Source organism: Homo sapiens, chromosome 2 (genome assembly GCF_000001405.40).
Source record: "Homo sapiens chromosome 2, GRCh38.p14 Primary Assembly".
Lineage (NCBI taxonomy): Eukaryota > Metazoa > Chordata > Mammalia > Primates > Hominidae > Homo > Homo sapiens.
The window spans coordinates 40144906-40167775 of NC_000002.12; the positions used below are offsets into that span (position 1 = coordinate 40144906).

The window sequence follows — 22870 nt, forward strand, 5'->3', positions numbered from 1 at the left end:
TAGTTACTTTTTCCTGTGACAAGAGCAGTTGAAGTCTACTTATTTAACAAACATTTCTAATACAATTTCATTAGCTTTAGTCCCCATGTGGCCCATTCGATCTCTAAACATGTGCATCCTTCCTATCTGCTATTTTGTATCCTTTGACCTATGTCTCTCATTGCCTGCCCCAACCCCTGCCCATAGTAAGATGGTAACCACTGCTTCATTCCTATCTTGGTGTATTTGAGCTCTTTTCAAACATATATATTTTCCACATATAAGTGAGACCATGCAATATTTTTCTTTCTCTGTCTGGCTTCTTTCACTTAGCATAATGTCTTCCAGGCCCATCCATGTTGTGGCAAGTGGCAGAATCTCCTTTCTTAAGGTTGAATCATAAGGAATCTCTCCTTTAGAGTGTGACAAGTTCTTATTTCCATTTCTGGTTGCCAAAGGTCAACCATCCAGTTCTGAATCAAACATCTTGGTTTGCCTCTAGCTCATCACCCTTGAATTTGGGAAAGTGGCCTGAATCATCACAAGTCTGTATGTAAAGCGGTCTGGAAAATGTATGCTGCTGTTCATCTGCGGATGTGTCTGACTTTCGATTCTTTCCAGGCACTCAGTAGGCTTTCTCCTCCAGAATTATGACTTTTTTGCAACCTGACATACAGTAATTACAAATCAAATTCTACTCTCCTGTTACATATTTCTGTTTCTCTTTTCTTTAAAGGTTCTGAGAGAATCGTAAAGAATAAAAGATGAAAGACCTTAGCGATCAGCTAAGAAAAATAAAACAGAATGGTGATTCAATTGATACATTTTTGTTCCCTAGTTTGCATCTGTATATATCTGTTTGTGTATGTGTGAGAAAGTGTGTATGCATGTGTATGTGACGCCATAAGGGCCAGCAGTTTTTACTGTCTTGCTCATAAAATGATCTGAAACTTCTTTTCTTTCTTTTCCCTTTTACATGCTTTTACCTTATGTCTAGTGACACCTTATCTCTTCCCACTCTTAATGGCCTCTGCCACTAAATTCAGTAACCCAAAGATTTATTCCCAAACAAGAGTTGATCTCTCTTTTTTTTGTATTTTGGAGATGTGCAATAAACATTTCTCTATACCTTAATTGGTGGGAAGTACTTAACATATTCTCTGATGCAAAGTAGATGATGTCAACAACTTTTCTTCTAAGTATATTGGAAGACACTTCCTATCAACGATAGCTCAGAAAACAATAGGTTCGAATTCCTAGATCTATGAGTTGCCAGTGCACAGAAGAAAATGTAGGCATTTTCTTCTACCAACTGAAACGTGGGTCTTAGAAAATACCTGAGCTTAAAGCTTTAGGAGGGTTTTGCAGTGTGCCAAGTTCAACCCCGGCTTAATGTGAATTTCTTTAAAATTTCTCTGCCGAATGGTTACTTGTGCCACTTCTGAGAGTTTCAGCTATTGGGGAACTCATAATCTCACAATCCAGGTTTAGAGTCTCTGGCAGTCAGCTCAGGCTGTTAGGTTCTACTCATTTGTCCAGGCCCCATCCCCTAGGCCAGTGGTCTCCAAACTTTTTGGCACCAGTGACTGGTTTTCTGGAAGACAATTTTGATGGTTTTGGGATGATTCAAGCACATTACATGTATTTTGCACTTTATTTCTATTATTGTTATGTACTCACCATAATGTGGAATCAGTGGGAACCCTGAGCTTATTTTCTTGCAACTAGATGGTCCCATCTTTGGGGGATGGGAGGCAGTGAAAGATCGTCAGGCATTAGAGTCTCATAAGGAATGCACAACCTAGATCCATCACATTGGATATTAATACTATTGTACATAAAATTTGAGTTCAAGTTTGCTATATATTTGTAACTTGGACTACTGGACTGTTCTTGGATGGAGAAGACACTATACAGGCCCCATTAGCCATCCCTACCCGCTTCTTCCAAGCCACAGCTAATCTGTGGGCCATACTGTCCCACGGGACTAGTGCTACTTCTTAAGGGGTTTGGGCCAGGTGATGTGTGACAGTATTGTAAAGGGCGTCAAGAAGGCAACTCACTCTCTGTTAATAACTTTCAAACCTGGCTGAAATGAATGAACATCTAGATGAAATCATCCACAAAAAACAGAATGCTTACAAGCTTAAGCCATTATGGTCTTTGTTGGGGTGGTTAACATAGCACAAGAAATATTTAACGTGACAGAAATATTTCTCAGCAAATGTAGCCACTGTCCAAATGAAAAACGGATTCACTAAGGAGTTCTAGCTCCATGCAAGTTCGATTATTACCAAAACAAATCTGTTTAAAGCTGAAAATTGATGGCTTTAGTGTCTCTTGTTCCTAAAAAAAAATCCGCTATATGAATTGGGTGTTCCTAAATTACAGTTTAATGTAATTAGTCATGTGTGTTTTTGCCCCAAGCTTGGTTGTTTATAAAATAACTCCAAGTTAGGGTAAGAATCTTGAAATTCAGAGTGTTCTCTTACCCTTAACTAATTGTAGGACTGACAGAATTCCAAGCTCCCGAAATAGGGAAACATTCCCTGTAGACTTGAATACCTAAGAAATAAGGCTTTGTCAAGTAGAATTGGTACTCAGCAAGTGTAGATACCTCCTGCTAGTGTAGATGGTTTAGTTACAGTGGGAAGTATGTGGGCACACCAGGTTCTAAGACTGGCCTGAGGACTCTGATAACACTTTGTAAATATCACCAGCTGTGTCTAAATTAGCCTCCTGTAGTGTGGGAAGCTGAGTCGTGAAGCAACTGTTTGGGCAGTGATAACCCTATAATTTTTAACAGACATATCAATGTTATGTCCTAGAGAATGTTAACATGTATATAAAGGGTAAATGTATACCCAAGTCTGCTCCACATGCAGAGGGGCATAAATGCTGCCCAGAGCCTCTTAAGATGCTGCTATGATTCATCTATGAATGCAGGTTCACTTACTGAGTGTTACTTTTATGCATGTAGGTAAAAGTGTACATCCCACTTAGTCTTCATCCTCCCAGGAGCCTGCTGCAGTAGGTATTATTTTCTCTGTTTTAGAGATGAAGAATCTGAGGCTCACACCATTTAAATGACTTGCTTATGAGATCTAAAACTCTGTCACCTCGCTACAATTACATGACCCATGGTTTCCATAGAGAAAAATCTCTGTGGTTTGTACAGCAAAAATTCATTCTGATAAAATGTAAGCTCACTTAGCATTGTTTTATGAAAAGTGTAATTGGGAAATGTCTCTCCTCCTTAAATTAACTCTCTGGATATGATATAATACACAAAATACTATATTGTTCTTTCAGAGAATGAATGGCTGGCTCAATTTTATTCTTCCTGGAATTTTATTTAAAAAAATGCATCTTTATGCAAATCCTCTATTCGTGATTTATTTCAGCCTCATTGGGAAGTGGGATTCTCCTCATTTTGGTGGCAAACATCTGTCTCTCTGGGCAGCAAATGGAAAGGACGCTGGCTCTACAGCAATGACAATAACACTCTCATAACTCTTTTCCTGATCTCAGGATCTCCTGAATGGACTCTGTTCTGAACATAGGGTTTGAAAGTTGACGTTTGAGCAAAGTGGTGATGCAAATTGAGTAACAGTCTAATGATGGCCTCGGTTTGCACAATACAAAGTGATGGCAGTTGCTCAAGGCACCCCTCATCTGCCTGTTCCTCTTTCCTTCTTTCTGTTGTGATTTTTTAACGAGATCTCAGTAAACACGGCCCTCCACTGACCGTAAGGTCCCATGATTTACTTGCTCTTGGCCACCTCACAGATCCTGTGTGCCTCAGTTTCTCCTTCTGGAAAATGGGCATAGTCAAAACCAACTTTCTCTTTTGTGCTATTGGAAAGGTATAAACAAGATTTTTAAGAGAAGTTATATGCTTACATATAGTAAACTTAGTTTTGGCTTGAGGGAAATTAGCTGATTGGTGGAATTCAGATGGAGCATCTCCTTCCCTCACTGCTCCTGAACACTTCTATTAGAGGGTAAGTAGGCTAAGGTGGGTGCTGACAATCTTGTTTGTCTGTCTGCCATGGCTTTCTTGTCTCTCATAAATAGTAACCATGCATCACGATGTTGTGATGTTTTTCTTCAATATCAGCCATCTGGAAAATCTCTCTTTCCCTCCTATTGTCAATAAGTCAGTGGCCTATCTTTTTTATTTGGTCAAGGCCTGGTGCATATTCTATTAAGTCTGTAGGTTTGAACTCTAAAATATTTTGGGTCACTGTTTTGCACCTCAAGCCCAGGCTGAACCCCTAACCTGGACCTCTAGGAAATCTTCAAAGGGAATGGGATGGTTGGAAGACTGACTTTATTAGTGCCACTCATTTCTTTAGTAAGTATTTATTGTCAACTTATGTATCAGGCACAGTTCTAGGCATTGCAAATGCAGAAAAATAAGATCCCTGATCTCATAGAATTTCCATTCTGGCAAGGGGAGATAGTAATCAAAGTAAACAAATAACAAATATAATATGTAATAATTTCAGATACTGATATGAGTTATGAATATAATGAAGTCTGGTGACTGGGAGGCCGAGAAACCCCTCTGAGCAGTTGACATGTGAGCTAAGACTTTAGTGAGGAGAAATAATCGGATATGGAGGGAAAGTATTCCATGCAGAGAAAATATCTCATGCACAACTGTGTAGAGAACAGAAATATGCCTGTGTCCTACTGGCATTAAGCTTTGGGAGGCAAGTGTGACAAGATGGAAAGAGGATTGACTTGGGAATCAGAACTTGTGGGTCAGGGTGGGAATCCCAACTTCAATTTCTCCATTTCTTGTAAATGGGTTCATGAGTAGCTACTGCACGAGGCTGCTGTGGGGCTTATGTGGATATAAAACAACTATTCACCAATTGGGAGACCATTTGGTCACTCAGTGCTGCTAAGGTGTTGGTCAGGAAAGCTTCAATCTTTGCTTTGTCTAATCCTAAGGCATCACATCACCAAGAAGCCCATTGGTCAGTAGGTAACATCAGAGGGCAGACATGGAGTATCTGATGGTTAAGGCGTTGGTTCTACAACTCCAGAAGAAAAATGAGCAATGCTTTATGGTGCAGCAGGAGCCTTGGGTTCTAAAACAGTCTCTCTGTGATCTTGGAGGAGACTCCCTCTCTCTGTTCTCAGGTTCTTATTTGTTAAAAAAAAAAAAAAAAAAAAGGCAAGGGGAGGTTAGAATCACTGCTCCTTTCCAGCTCGGGGCCAGGATTCTAAGATGCTCTATCTAACAGGCCATAAGACACAACACCCAGCCAGACCTGACCAGGCAAAGGCAAGGCAAGGGAGAAGCATGCGGTGGGATGTATGTGCCAAGGTTGGTTCACGCGAGTGGCTTTTCATTGCAGGAGTTGGAAAGACAAGGTCTTTATCAAGAGAGCAGGCTGTGAACAGCAAGAAGTAATGCTGCCAGTCACTTTTATGTGGCTCCTCTCTGCCTATGGAGAGTGTTTGTGTGTGGTGGAGGGTGGCTATGGTTTCTCTTCCTTCCACTTCTTTGGGTTAGGCTGCAATGTTTCCCCTACTGAAAACAGCATACAAAGGCTCCCGACTGGGGATGAAAAGTCCCCTCATGCCTCACACCTTGATTTGCAAGCAACAACTAAAACTGTATTCACATTGCAGCAGCCCATGCCAACAAAAGAGCTCTTGGACCCAGTGATGGCACATTGTTTGCAGAGCAGAGCTGCTGCCACCCCAGACAAAACTGCGTTAGAGACACGACTTCGGGCATACAAATAAGAGTGCTGAATCATTCTAGAGCCCTTCAATACGGTGTTTTCCTCAAGATTTTATAATACGCAATTTAAGAGAAGAACAGACCAATGAGCCAATATTCTTTTCAGAAACATCAGCTAAAGCATATCCAGAGGCCAGAAAATAATTGCTTTTTTTCTCCCACCCTCTCGTACTTCCACCTTTGTTTCTGGCCTGCCTTGTTCTGGAAGTGGAAACTGTAGCTACCTGATTCAACATTTTCTCCTGCTACTGCTGCATTTTTAGATCGACAGATATCCTAAATTTGCTTTGCTCACCTACTAGTATGTCCCTAGAATATCTCCCATAAATAGTTTATATCTGGAACTTACTCTGTCTTTCTTCTTAGTCATGTCCTCCGCTTTTCCTCTTAGGATCATCATTATCAGCTACATAACAGTGAAATTTTACTAAGAATACTTAAGAACACTGAGAGAAAATGTCATTTTATATTTGCATGTCCAATTTGCAAATACACAGATAAATATATCTTATGTGTACAAATATGTGAAAGTTCACATCTCCATGTCAAGTGATATGAAGTTTGACATAGAGAAAACAAATGTCTCAAACTCCTTTTGAAACATGGCGTGTGTATGGTGCGTGTGTGTGTGTGTGTGTATGTATTTATATAGATTGTTTTCTAGATCAGACACAGTATGATGATGTCTTTTAATCCAGTTATATACGGATTGGAAAACTTTAATTCACAAATAAATGTATTCATTCTTTATAAAACAAAGACTTAGCATTGCCAAGCGCTGTCTTAGTGCCAAGCACTGTCTTAGGTGTTAGAGAAATAGCGATGAACAGGGCAGATTTGCGGTTGTTGTTGTTTTTTTTTATTTAGATTCTTCCTACTTCTAAGAGGACTTGAGCAGATCTGTTCCTATTAATAGAGCATAAGATATTTTAAGACAAAAATAGGACAAAAAATGTCTGAAGCAGAAATAAAGGATGCTTTTAGTCACCTGAGTTGACTGAATTTTGAACACGTAGATTAAAAAAAGACTGTGCTTTCCAATGGCCAAAGCAATTTAGAAACCATTGAATTATATAGTTATGATCTTCCAGTTGCAAGGTGACAAAAATTAATTTTCTAGGGAAAAAAGCTTCTCTTTAGGAATTTATCATGTTTTCTTTAAAGTTTAGTGAGTGGCATTGTGAGGTTTTATAAAAGATAAAGTACTAGTTTTCAAATGTCATACATTAAAGATAAAAATTAAAATTACAGATAAGTTAAACTCCAATGAGGGCAGTTTTAAAAGAGGCTCTGATAAGAACTTTAAGATTTACTTTGTGATATCCAATTCTCATCAAGGATGAATGGCTATTGAATTCACTTAATGTGACCATTAAACAGTGTATTTTAAGCACCAAATGTCTTAAGTGACATATTGTGAAGTCAGTGTAATTACACACTTTAACATGTATTCTAAGGTAGGTATTGCATCTTGATTAAAGTTAGAGTCCTAAATTTCTTTCTTTTTATTAATAAAAAGGAAATTCTTTATTGGGGGCATGACATGCACAGAAAGTATGTATTTCTTGAAAGGTACTTGAATCTTTTGTATCACTCTCTTACATAAATTCTGGTGCAGCAAACAACCTTCCAATATATAGTTGTTTATGTGCAATGAATACAGGTTAGAAAAACCTCCAACATAGTAAAACAACAGATAAATAGAGTTAATGTGAGGCAGAAGAACAGGCGTGAGACTTGTAGTTTGGATACTACCTCTGCAGTTTTTTGTTTTGAGACACAGTCTTGCTCCGTTGCCCAGGCTGGAGTGCAGTGGCATGATTTCGGCTCACTGCAGCCTCTGCCTTCCAGGTTCAAGTGATTCTTGTGCTTCAGCCTCCCTAGCGGCTGGGATTTCAGGTGTGCACCACTACGCCTAGCTAATTTTTTTTTTTTTTTTGTATTTTTAGTAGAGACAGAGTTTCGCCGTGTAGACCAGGCTGGTCTCAAACTCCTGGCCTCAAGTGATCCACCAGCCTCAGCCTCCCAAAGTGCTGGGATTACAAGTGTGAGCCACTGCACCTGACCTCCTCTGCAGTTTTGAATAAGATGGGTCTACCAAGAAAAGCAGGGTGGCAGCTTGGGTGGGACACTCAGCAAGACCTGGATGTGTAATAATTACACAGAAGCCAGGCATGGTGGTGCCTGCCTGTAGTCCCAGCTACTCAGGAGGGTGACACTGGAGGATCACTTGAGCCCAGGAGTTCAAGGGTACAGTGAGCTATGACATGCCACTATGATGTGCCACTGCAGTCCAGCCTGGGCAATGGAGGAGACCCCATCTTTTTTAAAAAAATAGAAGAGAGACTATAACTGAGATTTCAAATTTCCAAATTCAATTTTGTCAGTACATTTCAAACCGAGAAAATGTCCTAAATGTAATGAACTAGCTTACATTTTAAAAAAATATCACTTACAAGGATGGATTGGATAATTTAAAGATACCTGTGAAGTAAAATTAGTAGTAATTTGTGTGATAATTTAGAACTCTAAATTTCAAATAGCAGTTACACGGAAAGCAAGTTGGCATTTTATTTATGAGAATGAAGGGTCTTTAAGAGACCCTTTAGTATTTCCATGTCCTAAAGACAACTCACAAGGTCATCTCTTCTAATGCTATTAACTCACAGGGGAGGTTAGAGGTCTTGTCCAGAGCCCCATAACTAATTGGTGGCTGCACCAGAATTCATTGAACTCAAGTATCTAGAGAAGCCAAAGATTCCAACAAATAAAGAATTTAAACACTTTATTTGTCATCCATGTTATATGTACTCTGTATCACAGAGAATGGGAATCTTTTAACTCTACACTGAAACAAGGAATAAGAGCTAAGTTGGATGGCAGCAGTGTTGCTCATATCTCCTGTTGGTTTCAAATAACTACTATTTGACCTTTGTTCCTACCTTTTTCAAGCATGCCAGTGATTCCAAGCCTGAAACAACCTACCTACCTAGATAACTAATAATATCACAGAGAAAGAGCAGGAGCTTGGAGAAAAGGCTGGGCATTGATTCCATTTTGTTTCATAAGACCTGACACAATTTCTAGCTCCAGATATAAATACAATTCCTACACCACAAAAACATTCCTTATGATGGGATTTAGTCTGGACTTTCTAGGAAATCCAGTAACTGATCCTGCCTACTTTCTAGGACTGATTCTATTCTTCCTGGTCCTTCTGCACTTCTGTCCCAGGCTTGCACACTCATTTCCAAACCCTTACCTTCCCCATGTGTAACTGAGATTAAAAGACTTGTTAACTTCATCCCTTTTGTCCTGAATTAACTCATCTGAAATGTGAGCACTTGAAACCTAAACTAAAGTTGTAGGAGGAACACCTAGGATTGAGCTGAAAGCCTACTGGAATTAGACTCACGATGATGGGGTTTCATATTCCAGCTAATCACTTGCTAGTTGTGTGACCCTACACAAGTTACGTAACCACTCTGGGCCTCAGGATCCATAGTTGTTAACTTTGGGAAAAATGACATAGCTCAGAATATAGGTGAAGAACAGAAATAATGCCTACAAAGTACCAGCCATGTCATAGAAGCCAAATGGTAACATTAAACAAAAAGTGGGCCACAATTTTTAATTTATTTTTATTTATTCTTTTTTTTTTTTTTTTTTTTTTGAGACGGAGTCTTGCTCTGTCACCCAGGCTGGAGTGCAGTGTTGAGATCTCGGCTCACTGCAAGCTCTGCCTCCCGGGTTCATGGCATTCTCCCGCCTCAGCTTCCCGAGTAGCTGGGATTACAGGCACCTGCCACCATGCCCGGCTAATTTTTTTTCTTTTCTTTTTTTTTTTTTTTTGTATTTTTAGTAGAGATGGGGTTTCACCGTGTTAGCCAGGATGGTCTCGATCTTCTGACCTCATGATCCGCCTGCCTCAGACTCCCAAAGTATTGGGATTACAGGTGTGAGCCACTGCGCCCAGCCAAAGTGGGCCACAATTTCACACTCATATGTCTTTGACAAAGTTTTCTTTTTTGTTTTTGGAGTTAGGGTCTTACTCTGTAGCCTAGGCAGTCTAGTGGTGCAATCACAGCTCACTGCAGCCTTGAACTCCTGGGCTCAGGTGATCCTACTGCCTCAGCCTCCTGAGTAGCTGAGACTACAGGCATGCACTATCACACCCGGCTAATTTTTTATTTTTTTGTAGAGATGGGGTTTCACTATGTTGCATAGGCTGGTTTTGAACTCCTTGGCTCAAGTGAGAAACTTTCTTAGGACAGTTCTACCTACTTTTGCTCATGAGACTAGCATCCTTCTTCATGAACCTCAGTCAACATATGATTTTAGACAAAGGAAAATTATGAATGTTGATATCACATAAGAAAAAGGGCAAAATGAGAAATCCCATTGGTAACACCCTCCTCCTTTTTTTGGTTGTCTTCTAGACACACTGAGGCTATGTCAAATCTGACACAGCAGAATTATTATTATTATTATTATTTTTTGAGATGGAGTCTCGCTCTGTCACCCAGGCTGGAGTGCAGTGGTAAGATCTCTGCTCACTGCAAGCTCTGCCTCCCGGGTTCACGCCATTCTCCTGCCTCAGCCTTCCTAGTAGCTGGGACTACAGGCACCCGCCACCACGCCTGGCTAATTTTTTGTATTTTAAGTAGAGAGGTGGTTTCACCGTGTTAGCCAGGATGGTCTCCATCTCCTGACCTCGTGATCCACCTGCCTCGGCCTCCCAAAGTGCTGGGATTACAGGCATGAGCCACCGTGCCTGGCCCTAGCAGAATTTTTAACTGCTTAAATTGGATTTTCAGATGACCTAAGGCTACCACAAGGATTAAGTAATGACAATTTCCCCATAGTAATGATGTTCAATAACAGACGAGATGCTGAAAAGTCTCCTGCTTAGACCAGATTTCACGGCAATCCCTTGAAACTCATTTGAGGTACCATTTTTATTAAGACTTTTAGAGTAGATTAGCCTTCAGGCTGATAGTCAAGTGAATTATTGTCCAGGGGACCACTGAGTTGACAGTATTTTATATTAAATAATTGAGGATATTAATCCACAAAGCATGCATGGATGGACTGATGACAGAAGCGTCCTTTAAACTGAACTAGTATCCATATTGGACTGGTGGGCTAAGGTGACATGCCCTCTACTTATTTATTTAGCTGGAACTGGGTCACTTTAATTTGCTGTGAAATGTAGTGAGTGTGGACAGGTCAGCAGCATGCACCAGCTGGGCCTCATGTAGAATGTCTTCCCTTGTACTGTAGAAGATTCCACTGGCATTCCCGAGATCCAATTATGTAACAGGAAGATAGGCACTTCTGAATCATCATCTCACTTGGCTTTCTTTGAGGCTAAACTTCAACTCTCCTCTAATCCCCTTCCTTCTAGAAGAACAGAAGTGAAGTGTATGCTGCTATTGTGCTGAATATTTAGTTTAGGCAAGCCAGAGGATGGGCAAGATATGCTTTTCCATTGTCAAAATCCAACGGGCCATGAAGCAAAATCCCCATCAGGGCTACTGTAGGACTATAATGGCCATCGACAGAGCTCCCATGTTTCAGTATTGGATGGTATCTTAGAGCTAGCCTAGTCCAACTCTCTCCTTTTCCTGATGATGAAACCAAAAATCAGAAGTGTTAAATTCTTTGCCAAGATTATACAGTTGGTAAGAGACAGAACCAAAACTGCTGGAGTTTTTTTTTTTTTGAGTCACTTTTGAGTATTCTTTCGTTATAAAGATGCCAATACATACTATGTCTGATATGCAAATGGATATGTCAAAAGTAAAACAATTTCAGGAAACTCTTTAATGCTGGATATTTAACATTAGGTAAAAGAAAGAGGGAGGAGTGTGTTGACTTCAAAGAATGTCACAAATTACTAGGCAGGATAAGCCTATGGGTGCACCTAGGAAAACAAATTCTTCCCTTTGTTCTTCAGGGAATTGACTGGCATCCTCCCCAAGGAACTTGTGCACTGGACTATAAGGAGACCTAACAAATATTAAGGAAAAAAAAAAAACATTTCTATTTCAAGCTGCGGCTCCAATATCCAAACAAATATCTACTATATAATGTGCATGTCTATGTATGCATGTTTTGTGTATCTTTGTCTTTGTATGTGTGTATGCCTCTGTGTACGTGCATACCTGATTTGTATGTGTGTGTCTGTGTTCGCACAATGCATGCATGTCTCTGCGTACCTGTGTATACGTGTGTTCTACATGTGTGTTCACTCAGGCCTCATGCACAGCAAGCAAGTGCACCCTTCATGCTGGAGAGACTGTTGGGCTGATTTGTTGCCTGGTACTGCCCCTTAACAGTTTTGCTTCTTGAGCAAGTAGTTACATTGTTTTTCCAAACCTCAGTGTTCTTATTTATAAAATGGTATGCATGATACCATGAAAGAAAGAAGTTAACCAGTGTGTTTTTAGTCCCATAGCTATTTTATTAATTAAATTGAATTAACTGCATTTGCACAAAATTTGATCATATTTTATTATAGGTTCTATAATAGAATTGCCTCCCAAACAACCAACTTTGGCGTTTCCATGTACAGATGGCCTTTGTGAAAATGCATACGGTTTAAATTAATTCTTATGGCAGCTCTATGAATAAAGCAGTTATCTCTACTTTACATATGAGCAAACTGAGATTCTGAGGTGTGAGCGAACTGAGATCTTGAGGTGTAGTAATCTTCCTGGAGTCATCCAGGGAGGTTTTGGAAGGCAGGGACACAAACCCACACCTGTCTCCAAAGCCAGCCTTGCAATCATTCTCTCCTTTGCCTCACCTCTGCCCAAAGCTGTTGTGAAGAACAATATGGTGGTTGTGGAACTGGCACTGGCATCCTGGTTCCCTTTATCCAGCTAATGTTTGCCCTCTTCTCTGACACACTTGTTTCCCTTGATACCTCAGCTGGCACACGATTTTTTAGAGTCGACTCACCATTCTGCCCTGGTAGAAGGAGAGAGATTTGGGAAAAACTCAAACTGGACAGGGAATGCTGGCTTCATGGAGAAGGGCATATGCTGGCACACTTTAACAGCACCTCGTGGTACTGGACTTGCCTTGCAAGTTTTGACAGCCATTGAACTGCAGAACCCACTGTTCCTAGTGTTCAACCCAGGAAGAAACAGAAGGAGAACTGCCAGGATGTAACTGCTTAATCGCTTCCTAATCTCTGGATTCTCATAAATCCTTTAACTCTTCAAATATGGAATTAAAAGAACTGGGTTGGCAGAATCATTATGGTCACAGGAGGCCCAAGTACTGAGCTATGAAATTCAGAAAAAGCAGAGGGACAAGAAGATTGCCACAGGGTTGACTTTGAAACCAGTTTGAATACAGTTACTGAGAAAGAAAAGCAAATCCCTATTTACAAAATTATTATTTTTGTTTAGCGAGATATATTGAGTTAATTTTGCACAGAAAATTGCATAGCAAAGAAACCTCTCAGTAGAGCCCTTTAAAAGCAATTTAATATTTGTAATAAGGCAAATTGTACTGACTCTCAACTATTTAGCCATGAAATTTTAAAATCCAATGAAAGTCTGACTTCAATAAATGCTGCTTTACAAATTTTATTGCCTGTGTAACAGCCTAAGAATACTGACATTCTTTAGACAGTTAAATTTAATCATAAAGACAAATACTCAACTTTTGAAACTGCCCTTCATGTAATTGCGTATAATTTGGTGCTTTTAAAACATGGGTTTGACTTTCTGATATGTTGTTTCTCAAAATTGTAAATAAGGTCGATTTACCCAGCAGCCTGCGAATTTCTAAGCAATTGTGCCTTATTTCCAAGCGGTCATTTAGAAACATAAAGCACAATATATTGTATGACAAGAAGACTTGAGAGGTTTCATATCTCAGTTATTAACAATTCTTCAAAAGCTCTAGGCAGGAGTTAGTTCCATCATGAAATGATGACACCATGGCCGCAGGTAATGTGACGCGGCCAGTCTCTCTGTGAGAGTAGGGAGCAATTTTCCTCATTTTGAAATTTCCTTCTTCTAAAGGGCAGTAGATAGCACACTGGACCAGTCTTCATTAGATATAGGATCTAAGGTCTGTTCTAAAGACATGTTGCCTCTCTCAGACTCAGATTCTTCCTTAATTATCGTAAGATAACGATAATTATAATATTAAACACAACATATGAAAGTGTTTGCAAGTCAAAATCCACCTCTTTTAAGTAAGGCAGTATTAACATCTTTATAGTTGTTTCTCTGTATACCTATTCTCACCAGAATCAAACACATGACACTGGCCTTGTTGGCAGCATAATCCCATTCACTGTTTAAAGCTGCCCTTTTCTATTGCTATAGACTGGTCATAAAATGTTTCCTTGTTCTTGAGAGTCATAAAACTATGTGAATGAACCAACGTAAACCACTCCTCTGCTAGAAAAGCAAATTTGGCCTTAATAGGTCTATTGATGGGGTCATCTCGGCCATCTCTCTGAAATTGCAGACTCTATACGTATTTCCTGTTCCCTTCCACAGCTTTGCTTTCCTCTATGACAAACTTATCATCATAAATATACTTTACTTTAATGTATCTGTCTGATTTACTGTATCCTCCATTAGACTGTAAGCTCCACTTGGGCAGGGGTATTTGTTGCATTCGCTGTCATGTGCCTTGCACCAAGAACAATAATTGACATAGAAAAACGAAGGAATGATGGCCAGCTTATGGTTGTTATACAAATGCTCATATACCTGCAGCTAAGAAAACAGAAATGATTAGAAATGGTTCAGTATAAGGCTTAGGATGCTTTTAATGTTTTAATTCTAATATGTCAAGGCCCATAAAAGAGTTTGTTCATTTTTAATATTTTCTACTATTGGCTTCGTCAGCAGTTTCTTATTCTAGAAATTTTTGTCTGCTTAGTTGTGTCTGTGAAGAGGGAGTATAGCTCATGCCTCATATATTAAGCTTAGATTTATAGAAAAACATAAGAAATAAAAGAGAGTTTACCCCTCCTTCTATTAGAGCTTATATGCAAATTCCAAATCCACTCTCCTGAGCAGTTACCCACCATTTAATGTTCATAAATTCCCACTATATATTCAATTGCAAAAAACCAAAGCAAGATTATAAACACACTAATAATAAACAGGCATAAAATTTTTACTACCCTCTCTTCTCACAGCACTTGGGAGATGTGTCAAATTACCCTGTGGCAGACTGGAAAAAGGGATTTGGGGTAGAAATCATGGCCCAACTGCTAGTGACGCAGTTTCCAAATTTTACAGCTTGGGAATCACTACGTATTTAGGAAACTCTACCTTTGTTAATTCGTTGCAACTGTAGAAGATGAGCCTGGAGGGATCTTTAAAGAGAGCCAGTGTAGATGGAGCAGAAGAACAGGAAAAAAAATCCAAGGACGGGGTTGCTTTCATGAATCTTTAAGAGGGACTTTCCTGTATCGTTATACAATCACACAAAGAGTGGACAGGGTTTGACAATACAGGAAGAGCACACCTCTCTCTCTATTTAATTCCCTCATGTTTCTGACTCCGTGAGTTTGAAAAACACTTCATTTTGTAGGAACTTCCTAAATAAAACTCTGTACTTTGCTTGTGCAAGAAGAAACAGAATGTAATTCTATTTCTATTTCTAGAGCCAGTGCAAACACGTATTTGTTGCATGTTGTTGAAGAGAGTGTAAAATGATGCAGATGGTTGTGGTCAAGTGTCTTAGTGTCTTCCCTTTCCACCTAGGATTTTGCTGCTTTTTTTCTTGACCTTGACTTGGCCACCTTTGTGCTGCTTACAGGGAATTTTCCAGACAAAGCCTAGTGATTGGCTATTCGTGAATTAGAGACACAAAACGCTTTAAATTTATCTTGTCTATTTCCAGAAAGATGCAATATAGATGGAGGAAAATGTCATGTGTGAAGACATTTGCTTCATCTAGATAGTCAATTTAGTCTTTAAAATGTGCATACATTAACAAATAAACTTATTTCTCCCTTAATTTTGCCATGGAAGCCCTTTGGTGCTTTGCCATAGACCAAGTAGCCACAGTAGGAAAACTCAGCTCAGATTGGGCAATTTTAATTTATAATATGCAGAGAAAGGCACTCACCAGCACTGACAGTGATAGCTTCAATGAACTGTTCTCTCCAGCTGTTAGTCCCAACCACAAGGGCCAGGTTTGTCTTCTTAATGAGTTTGTCCACAGTACTCTAGAAATGTTGAAAAGAAAAATATAAATGCTGGGTTCGCTAAGGCCTCAGGAAATCCAAGACCTTGTTGATTTTGAAACTCCAGAGTTATATAAAGGGTAGCAGATGTTAGGCTCAAAACAACAGTATTGACATCAAACACTGTTATGATTATGCAAACAAGCATGGTCCTTAGTTGGAAACATTCTGAAATGGAAACTTCTTTGTAGCAAATACAAGTCTCCTTCACTGACTAATGAAGAATAGCCTCAGTGTTTAGAATAGCAGATGCTGCAAAAGCCCATCCATCCCCCTGAATGCTTTGCCAACTTGCTTCTCTGCTGGTTTCATCTGTAGTGTTTCGTCTGCAAGTGAATTAACATATGCCCTATTCAGCACTACATATCTGCGAATAGCCGGAAGTGACAGATTATGGAACCAAAAAATATTGCTATTGTATTTTGTTTATCAATGAAATGTAGCCAGATAATGGAGTCTCCAGGTTGCCTGCTGCATGGTCATCAATAAATGGATTTGTCTCTGGGTACTATTTTGTCAGCCTCTTGCCTCTTAGAGAATCTCATGCTCACCCTATTCCTATTGCAAACAAGAATACACAAAAATACAAGAAAAGTTCAGTTCTTATGGTTTAGGGCACGTTGCAGTTTACCTTGCCCTAAATCTCCCCTGCTTTACTGGCACTGTGCTGCATACCCCTTATTTTTCTTTGGAACTTTTTAAGCACCTTGTTTTGTACAATCAGTACTCTCTAGCTTTCTAAATTCAGTTAATGTAACAACAAGAGCAGCCAAACATTCACGAGAAAACTAAGTAAGCAGATGGACTGAAAGCACTACTGCAAGTCATGGCAACTACAGGGAGAAAAGTCATTTCCAAGACACTAAGGCTGCTCATCCCAAGAAACTACCACAGTGACTAGTCTACGAAACATCCACACTTACTGTCAGAGCATCCTTGAATTTCCACTAATTGCAAAGAGGCAGAAAACACATTATTTGTCATAGGTCGAAATCTGTATATGTTTTATGCAATGTACTTGAGTGGACTATGGTTTAAGAGAGCACATTTCCAACTAACTGGGAGTAAGCAAAATGCTATCTAAAGGGCTTGTATTAAAGGCCAAAACCAAATCATAATATCAAGCATGTTTGCTCAAGAAGAGTCATTGGAACAGACTTGAAACATTGAGAAGATAATAAGCATGAAAGGGCCCATCTCCAACTGGCTCACTCTGTATTCATGACATTATTCTTGAAAGAATTGTATGTCCTTAGGGTGATGACCTTTCAGCTTCCAGCTTTGTGTCTAGAACTGCTGGTGCCCCTGATAACAGCTGTAACCATCACTGCTCTTGGCCACCATAACTTGAAGCACTTGACCAGCATCCATCTTTCTTTTCTCAACTCAGCCACATCTCATCAAGTACTCTGACCATCCTCACTGCTACAAATTCAAAGTGCCTTGTAGAATGTAATAAGAAATGACCTCGATTTTTCCTAATGTAGTGGAAACTTGGGACAGTTCTCTCCAAAGAGGCACTCTGTGCTGAATCCATGACGGAGTATCCCATCACCTGGGAAATAAACAATTGAACAGATAAACTTCTCTAACATTGAGCACAGACTTTCCTCAAGAAATAGCTGCTAAAGAACAAATGTTTAAGATAAACTAAACTTCTGTGTGTAAAACTCAGGGTAGATTTTAAACTGTAGTTCATGTTAATCCTGGGGGATTATAGTATAGCCAGGGTTCTTCCTAGGACTTAATTTTCATATGTATCCTTCCTTGACCTATGGGAAAAATGGGAGTGAATAAAGATATAGTTCAGACACCTGAACTTGGACACTGTTGTCTGTATTTACCTAGGAGGTTCCTAAATGCTTGTGATCAGTTTTTCACTGCACTAGATTTTCAAAGGCTTGTGAAAACCTCACCCTCAGCAATGGGTGTTAGTAAAACCAGGTCCTCAGTCACACCATAGTAAATAAGAACTCAGTGGGTAAAGCAGAGTGGGCCATTGAAAGGTACCACCCAGATTTGGGTCTCTGGTACAGTTCTGGGAGCTCTGAGTAAGTTCTTTAAAATACCTATGTTCTAGTAAAAGAGATTTCTTAAATAATATAAAATCTAGGCTGATACGTAAGGGCAGTTCTAAAACATGCCCCTAACGTGCCTTGTAGGTATTAATGGTAACTATACTGATGAACTTTGAAGAGATGACTGGAAATAATCTATGGAAGCTATCCTACAAAGATAAGTACCCCAAACAACTGGTTTCATGTAGAGACTTGGGGCACTTTCAAATGGTCAGATCATTATAGTGGTTACCAGAAAGGGCTTTGGACCCAAGAAGGCTTTGCTGCCTGGAAGACTGTGCCCGGCCTTGCTTAACTTAATGCTTCTTATGGGAAGTTACTATGATTGCTCTTCCTGTCATGGGTGCATGGAAGGGGAAGGTCTGAGATCATCCCATAAGGGAGAGAACACACAATTCCCCAGGAGAACCCAGGCAAAGGGCAGGGGCAAGCTTGCTTCAGGAATACCAACCCATAGACTCTCTGCTACAGAAAATGGCACTCAGCTCTCTGATTCCAAATGAAAAGAGGGTGAATGAGGAAGAGGGAGGTTGAACACACATGGAGAAAAGATGAGTAGATGGGTCACCAGAAATGGACAGTCTGAGATTCCCCGACTTCTGGAATTACAGGGAACTTGTGCACATTCCAGGCATGGTTGTGCAACAAGCCAAGTTCTGTGTCATACAATGGGGGTCTAATGATCGGGGTCTGCCTAGAAAGCATTGGTTCCACTGTTTACCCCCGGACCCCCTCCTCCTATGGAAATGTGTGAAAGAAGAGTTAACAGACAGATTCTCAGTGGCCTAAAGGAAAAAGATTAATTGCATTTTTATCTTAAAATATTCCACTTTAATTTCAAAGACATTTTGTTTTCCACCTGTCTCCTATCAGGCACCTCCATTTGTGAAGTAAATTAAAAAATAATTAATGGATCCAGCTAAAGGAAAAGAGGGGACTATTATGAGAAGTCCAGATAAAATCTGAAACTTCTAAATTGGTGGTCTGATTCTCTCTTTTGAAACCTTCATTCTGGTGTTTCAAACAGGAACAGTGTCTGCTTTTGAAAAGTAAGCAGGTAAAATACTGCTGTGCTCTGGGTTTGTAATTCTGGAAAGCAAGAGAGGGGATGCACATTTCATATCCCACTGCAGAACTGAACTGTTTCTTCCCCTGTGGTCTTCCCAGATGCTAGAACCATGTAGGGTAGAAGGGATGGGAGGGGACAGAGGGAGCAGCTAAGGATCAACAGGAAATTTCACTTCAAAGTCTTAAGCTCCATCCCCAGGCCCACACATTCAACTTCTGCAAAAATGACTTTTATCATCTAGAGAACTGAGAATCCAATTTTATCAGCTCAACTGTAAACTCCGGTTGCAGGCACTCTGCATTCGGTATATTGACTGTACTAAAATGTCCTTGGATCTGAAGAGGATGATTAAATATAAATGAGAGCTTGTCAATGGGATGTTCCATAGGGAGATATTACTATCCCCCTGCAAAACAAAAGCCTCCTAATTTTCAGCAGTGTGAATGCCTTGCTCTGACAGATTTATTAGCATTTTCAAATAGAACTTGGTTTCTTCCACACATAACAATCTCTTAGGATTCACCTTTGCATGTTCCTTGCTGCCCCTCAGATTAAACCTTCCCTTTGGGGCACCTCTGACCTTGTGCAGTCATAGATGTCTCCTGCTGGGCCCTGGTTCGGATGCTGTTTGGTTTACAGGACTCCTTGGTTCCTGATTAACTCTATAATTCCAATTTGGCCCCAAAGGCTCTCAATTCACAAGCCAGTTCCTGAAATTACATCTACTACTCTTTCCAGGTGGATCTTAAGCTTTGGCCAACCCTATGAACAGTTTCTGTCCCAAGGTGAGACTGGCTCCTGGTGGGCAGTGTTGGTGAGCATACCTTGAATTCATAGGATTCTTCAATGATCACTTCCAACTTGGTGTGCTCTCCCAGGATGGGGCGCCCCATTTCTGCAATGCGCCTCTCCTCTTCCTCTTTGCTGGTCAGTGGCTGCTTGTCATCATATTCGTCTGTGAAACGGAAGTATCAGAGAGTGAGCACTGTGTTCTGTTTAATTTGGAAATCCCTGGATCCTGCCATAAGAAAGCCAAGGAGGAAGGAAGCCCTAATGACCTACTAAAGCCCCCTGGGTGAGATCACGATGCTGGAGGGAAGAGCCAGACAGACACTTGGCATGTAAGGCAGCATATCACTGTGAGAGCAAGTGATTATAACATCTCACAATCTAAGCTCATGCAAAAGTTCAGTTGAGGAAAAGTAATGTATGGGGCATATCACTGAGAAAAGACTCTGCCTGTACATTGTCTATGGTAAGGGAGTCACGCAGCTATTCCCTGTGACGCTGGCTCAGTTGGCTGTTTGTACACATTCTTTCAGCACGTGACCAAAGGGAAACACAATTGAAAGTGCTAGAGTGACCCTCAGAGATGGCGGAGTCTGGCCTCTTCCTCTTCACTTTCTAGGGGCAACAGAAAATGCCTGAGGCCCAAAGAGATGGGGAACAGGAAATTCTGACTTTAGCCTCTCTCTTGCCAAGAGACCCTATTGCAAGTTAAACAGCAAAACATCCATTCCATATTTCTGTGAGACGCTTGGGCTCCAGTGCTGCTTCAGTCTGGTGCAAAGCCAAAATTTGTTAGGAAAACCTTGGCCATGTTAATCTTAAAGTAAACAGGGAGGGCGAGGGTGAGGCCTTTCGGGAGTTAAAATACTCACTCACCATGTGAGCACAATTATTTCCAGAACTACCATGTAGCTTACAGTCCAGGAGAGGACGGTGGGTGCTGAGGAAATGTTAATGGATCCAAGAGCCCATTAATGAGGGGAAGCTCACAGTTGGCTCTCTCTTTGTGAAGGTCATTAGGATAAATCCCAGACTGAAAAGGCCATGCATATAAGAAGGGCAAACACTGGTCCTATAATTACCCTTATCCTTTAGGCCCAGAATGCTGAAACAAGACAAGCTACTTCTTCTCAGATTTAAGTGGAATGAACATTGTCTCCAATGAAACATTATCTGATATGGAAAGACCTCAGCCCTGATGGCCTCATTTCTAGGACCTCTGGACAAAGTGCCTCCAACAGGGGGCTGTTGACTAAAAAGACATGCAATAAAAGGGATGTTTGGTCCTGGCTTCCTGCCTGGTGCATTTAAATATTAGCTTCTGTAGAAGTCCATACCTCCCATTACCTCCAAAGACCCATGGCCTCCCCCCTGCTGAGGGACCACGCTATGGTGGCTCCATTGTTGCTTTGGCAGCTGTTGCAGGGAATGAATGGTTCCTAGGCTAGCTGCTCGTTGTGAGGGCAGGGAGTGAATGAGCTAGAGGCAGTGCCAGCATTTAATATTTCAAGGGTCAAAACCAACAAAAGGCAAAAGCAGAATGTAGCATATTGATTAATTCTTTAGTATACATTTTATAGTGTCATCCTAAAAGCCCATTTTAAAATCTGCTTTCCTAGCCTCAGAGATTACAGGGCACCAAATAAATTAGTTGCAGACTAAAAATAAATGATTTTGGACTGGCCAGAAGCTGCTGAATGTTAGCAGAGGCAAAGGAGAGGGGCAAGGAGATTAATTTTAACTATAAAAGTGGCAATATTTTTTATAGTAGGATTGGGAAGTTATGACCCAAGGGAAGGCAAAGAGTTCTGGTTCTCCAAGATTTGTCCTTGCAAAATTATGTATGTCTAGTCAAGAGAGGTGGCTGAGATACATGAAGTGCAATTTATCCAGCACTGAAATTAATAATGTTGATTACCACTGCTTTGTGATCCTTGAACCCAGGATAATGTTATTAGTAGTTTTCATAGCAGTAGTTTATGCTAGCATCTTTGTTTGAAACTTTGGCTGAACATGGATGAGTTGAAGACTTACACAGAACAAGAATGGTTTTCTCAGAAGAAGGAATATTACAACTTGGACATCTATTTAAACTGTGAAGCTATTGGGGGAGAATATTTATTATGGCCTTCTTTTTGTAGTTTACTTATAAATGACAAGCTGCTTTTAATGGGACTCAAGGCAATCTACCTAGAAAAAATAGAGAAATTACAAAACAAAGCTGATGTGGTAGCATTGTTAAGTGCAGCATTTCATGAAATTAAACTGGTTTTGATCATGGTATTAAATAACTGGACATGGAATAAGCAAATGAAGTCAAATCATACAATGAGTGAAAAGGTTCTTTCTTTTCCAAAAATCCTTCAGTCCTTCTGATCAGGAAGAAATGCTTAATTCGGTGCTGTTAGGTCTGTAACTAGTTCCTAGTATCTCGACTTTTGTACCTTTTAAGATAGGTAGTCAAAATAGTTCTCAGGTGTAGAGCACTTGCCATCATCTAGCTAGAATTTAATAACTTTTTTCCATTGTAAAAATTTTTTAATTTTACTTTCTATTTGTGGCAAACGATACTAGTTTTCCTGTGTTAGTGACTTAAAGTTTTCTTTTAAAAACAAACTTAATAAAGTATAAACATGAGGCAATTTTAAAAATTACATTAAGTAAATAGTATAGTTGGTATGCAACCAAAGCAGTATGGGAATGACAAAAATTAAGAAATATAGTGTTAACTTATTTCATACTAACCTAAAAAACAGTAAGGCACACTGTTTCTATCATTTGCTACACTCTTGCTTCAAAGGGACTTAGATTTCTTAATTCCACACTTTTATCCCTTTATGTATTCACCTGGACAAGCTTCACAATTTTCATTTTGTTAAATCTTATCTTTCAAAACCCCACCTCTTCTGGCAGGAAATAACTCCCTATTGATGAGTGAGAAGGTTTATGAACTACCA

The 22870-nt window shown here is 40.0% G+C and overlaps 1 protein-coding gene and 1 long non-coding RNA gene across 24 annotated transcripts in view; one reads left to right on the forward strand and one right to left on the reverse strand.

Annotated features, from left to right (window-relative positions):
* The window catches only part of SLC8A1-AS1 (SLC8A1 antisense RNA 1), a 337576-nt gene that overhangs the window by 227272 nt on the left and 87434 nt on the right, over positions 1–22870 (forward strand). The window lies entirely within an intron of this gene.
* The window catches only part of SLC8A1 (solute carrier family 8 member A1), a 415166-nt gene that overhangs the window by 47636 nt on the left and 344660 nt on the right, over positions 1–22870 (reverse strand). For all 23 annotated transcript variants that reach the window (NM_001112802.2, NM_001372263.2, NM_001394106.1 and 20 more), the window contains 2 exons: positions 19949–20079; positions 15860–15959 (listed from right to left, as the gene is read on the reverse strand). In NM_001112802.2, the coding sequence (NP_001106273.1) occupies positions 15860–15959; positions 19949–20079 (231 nt within the window). The remainder of the gene's footprint in view (positions 1–15859; positions 15960–19948; positions 20080–22870) is intronic.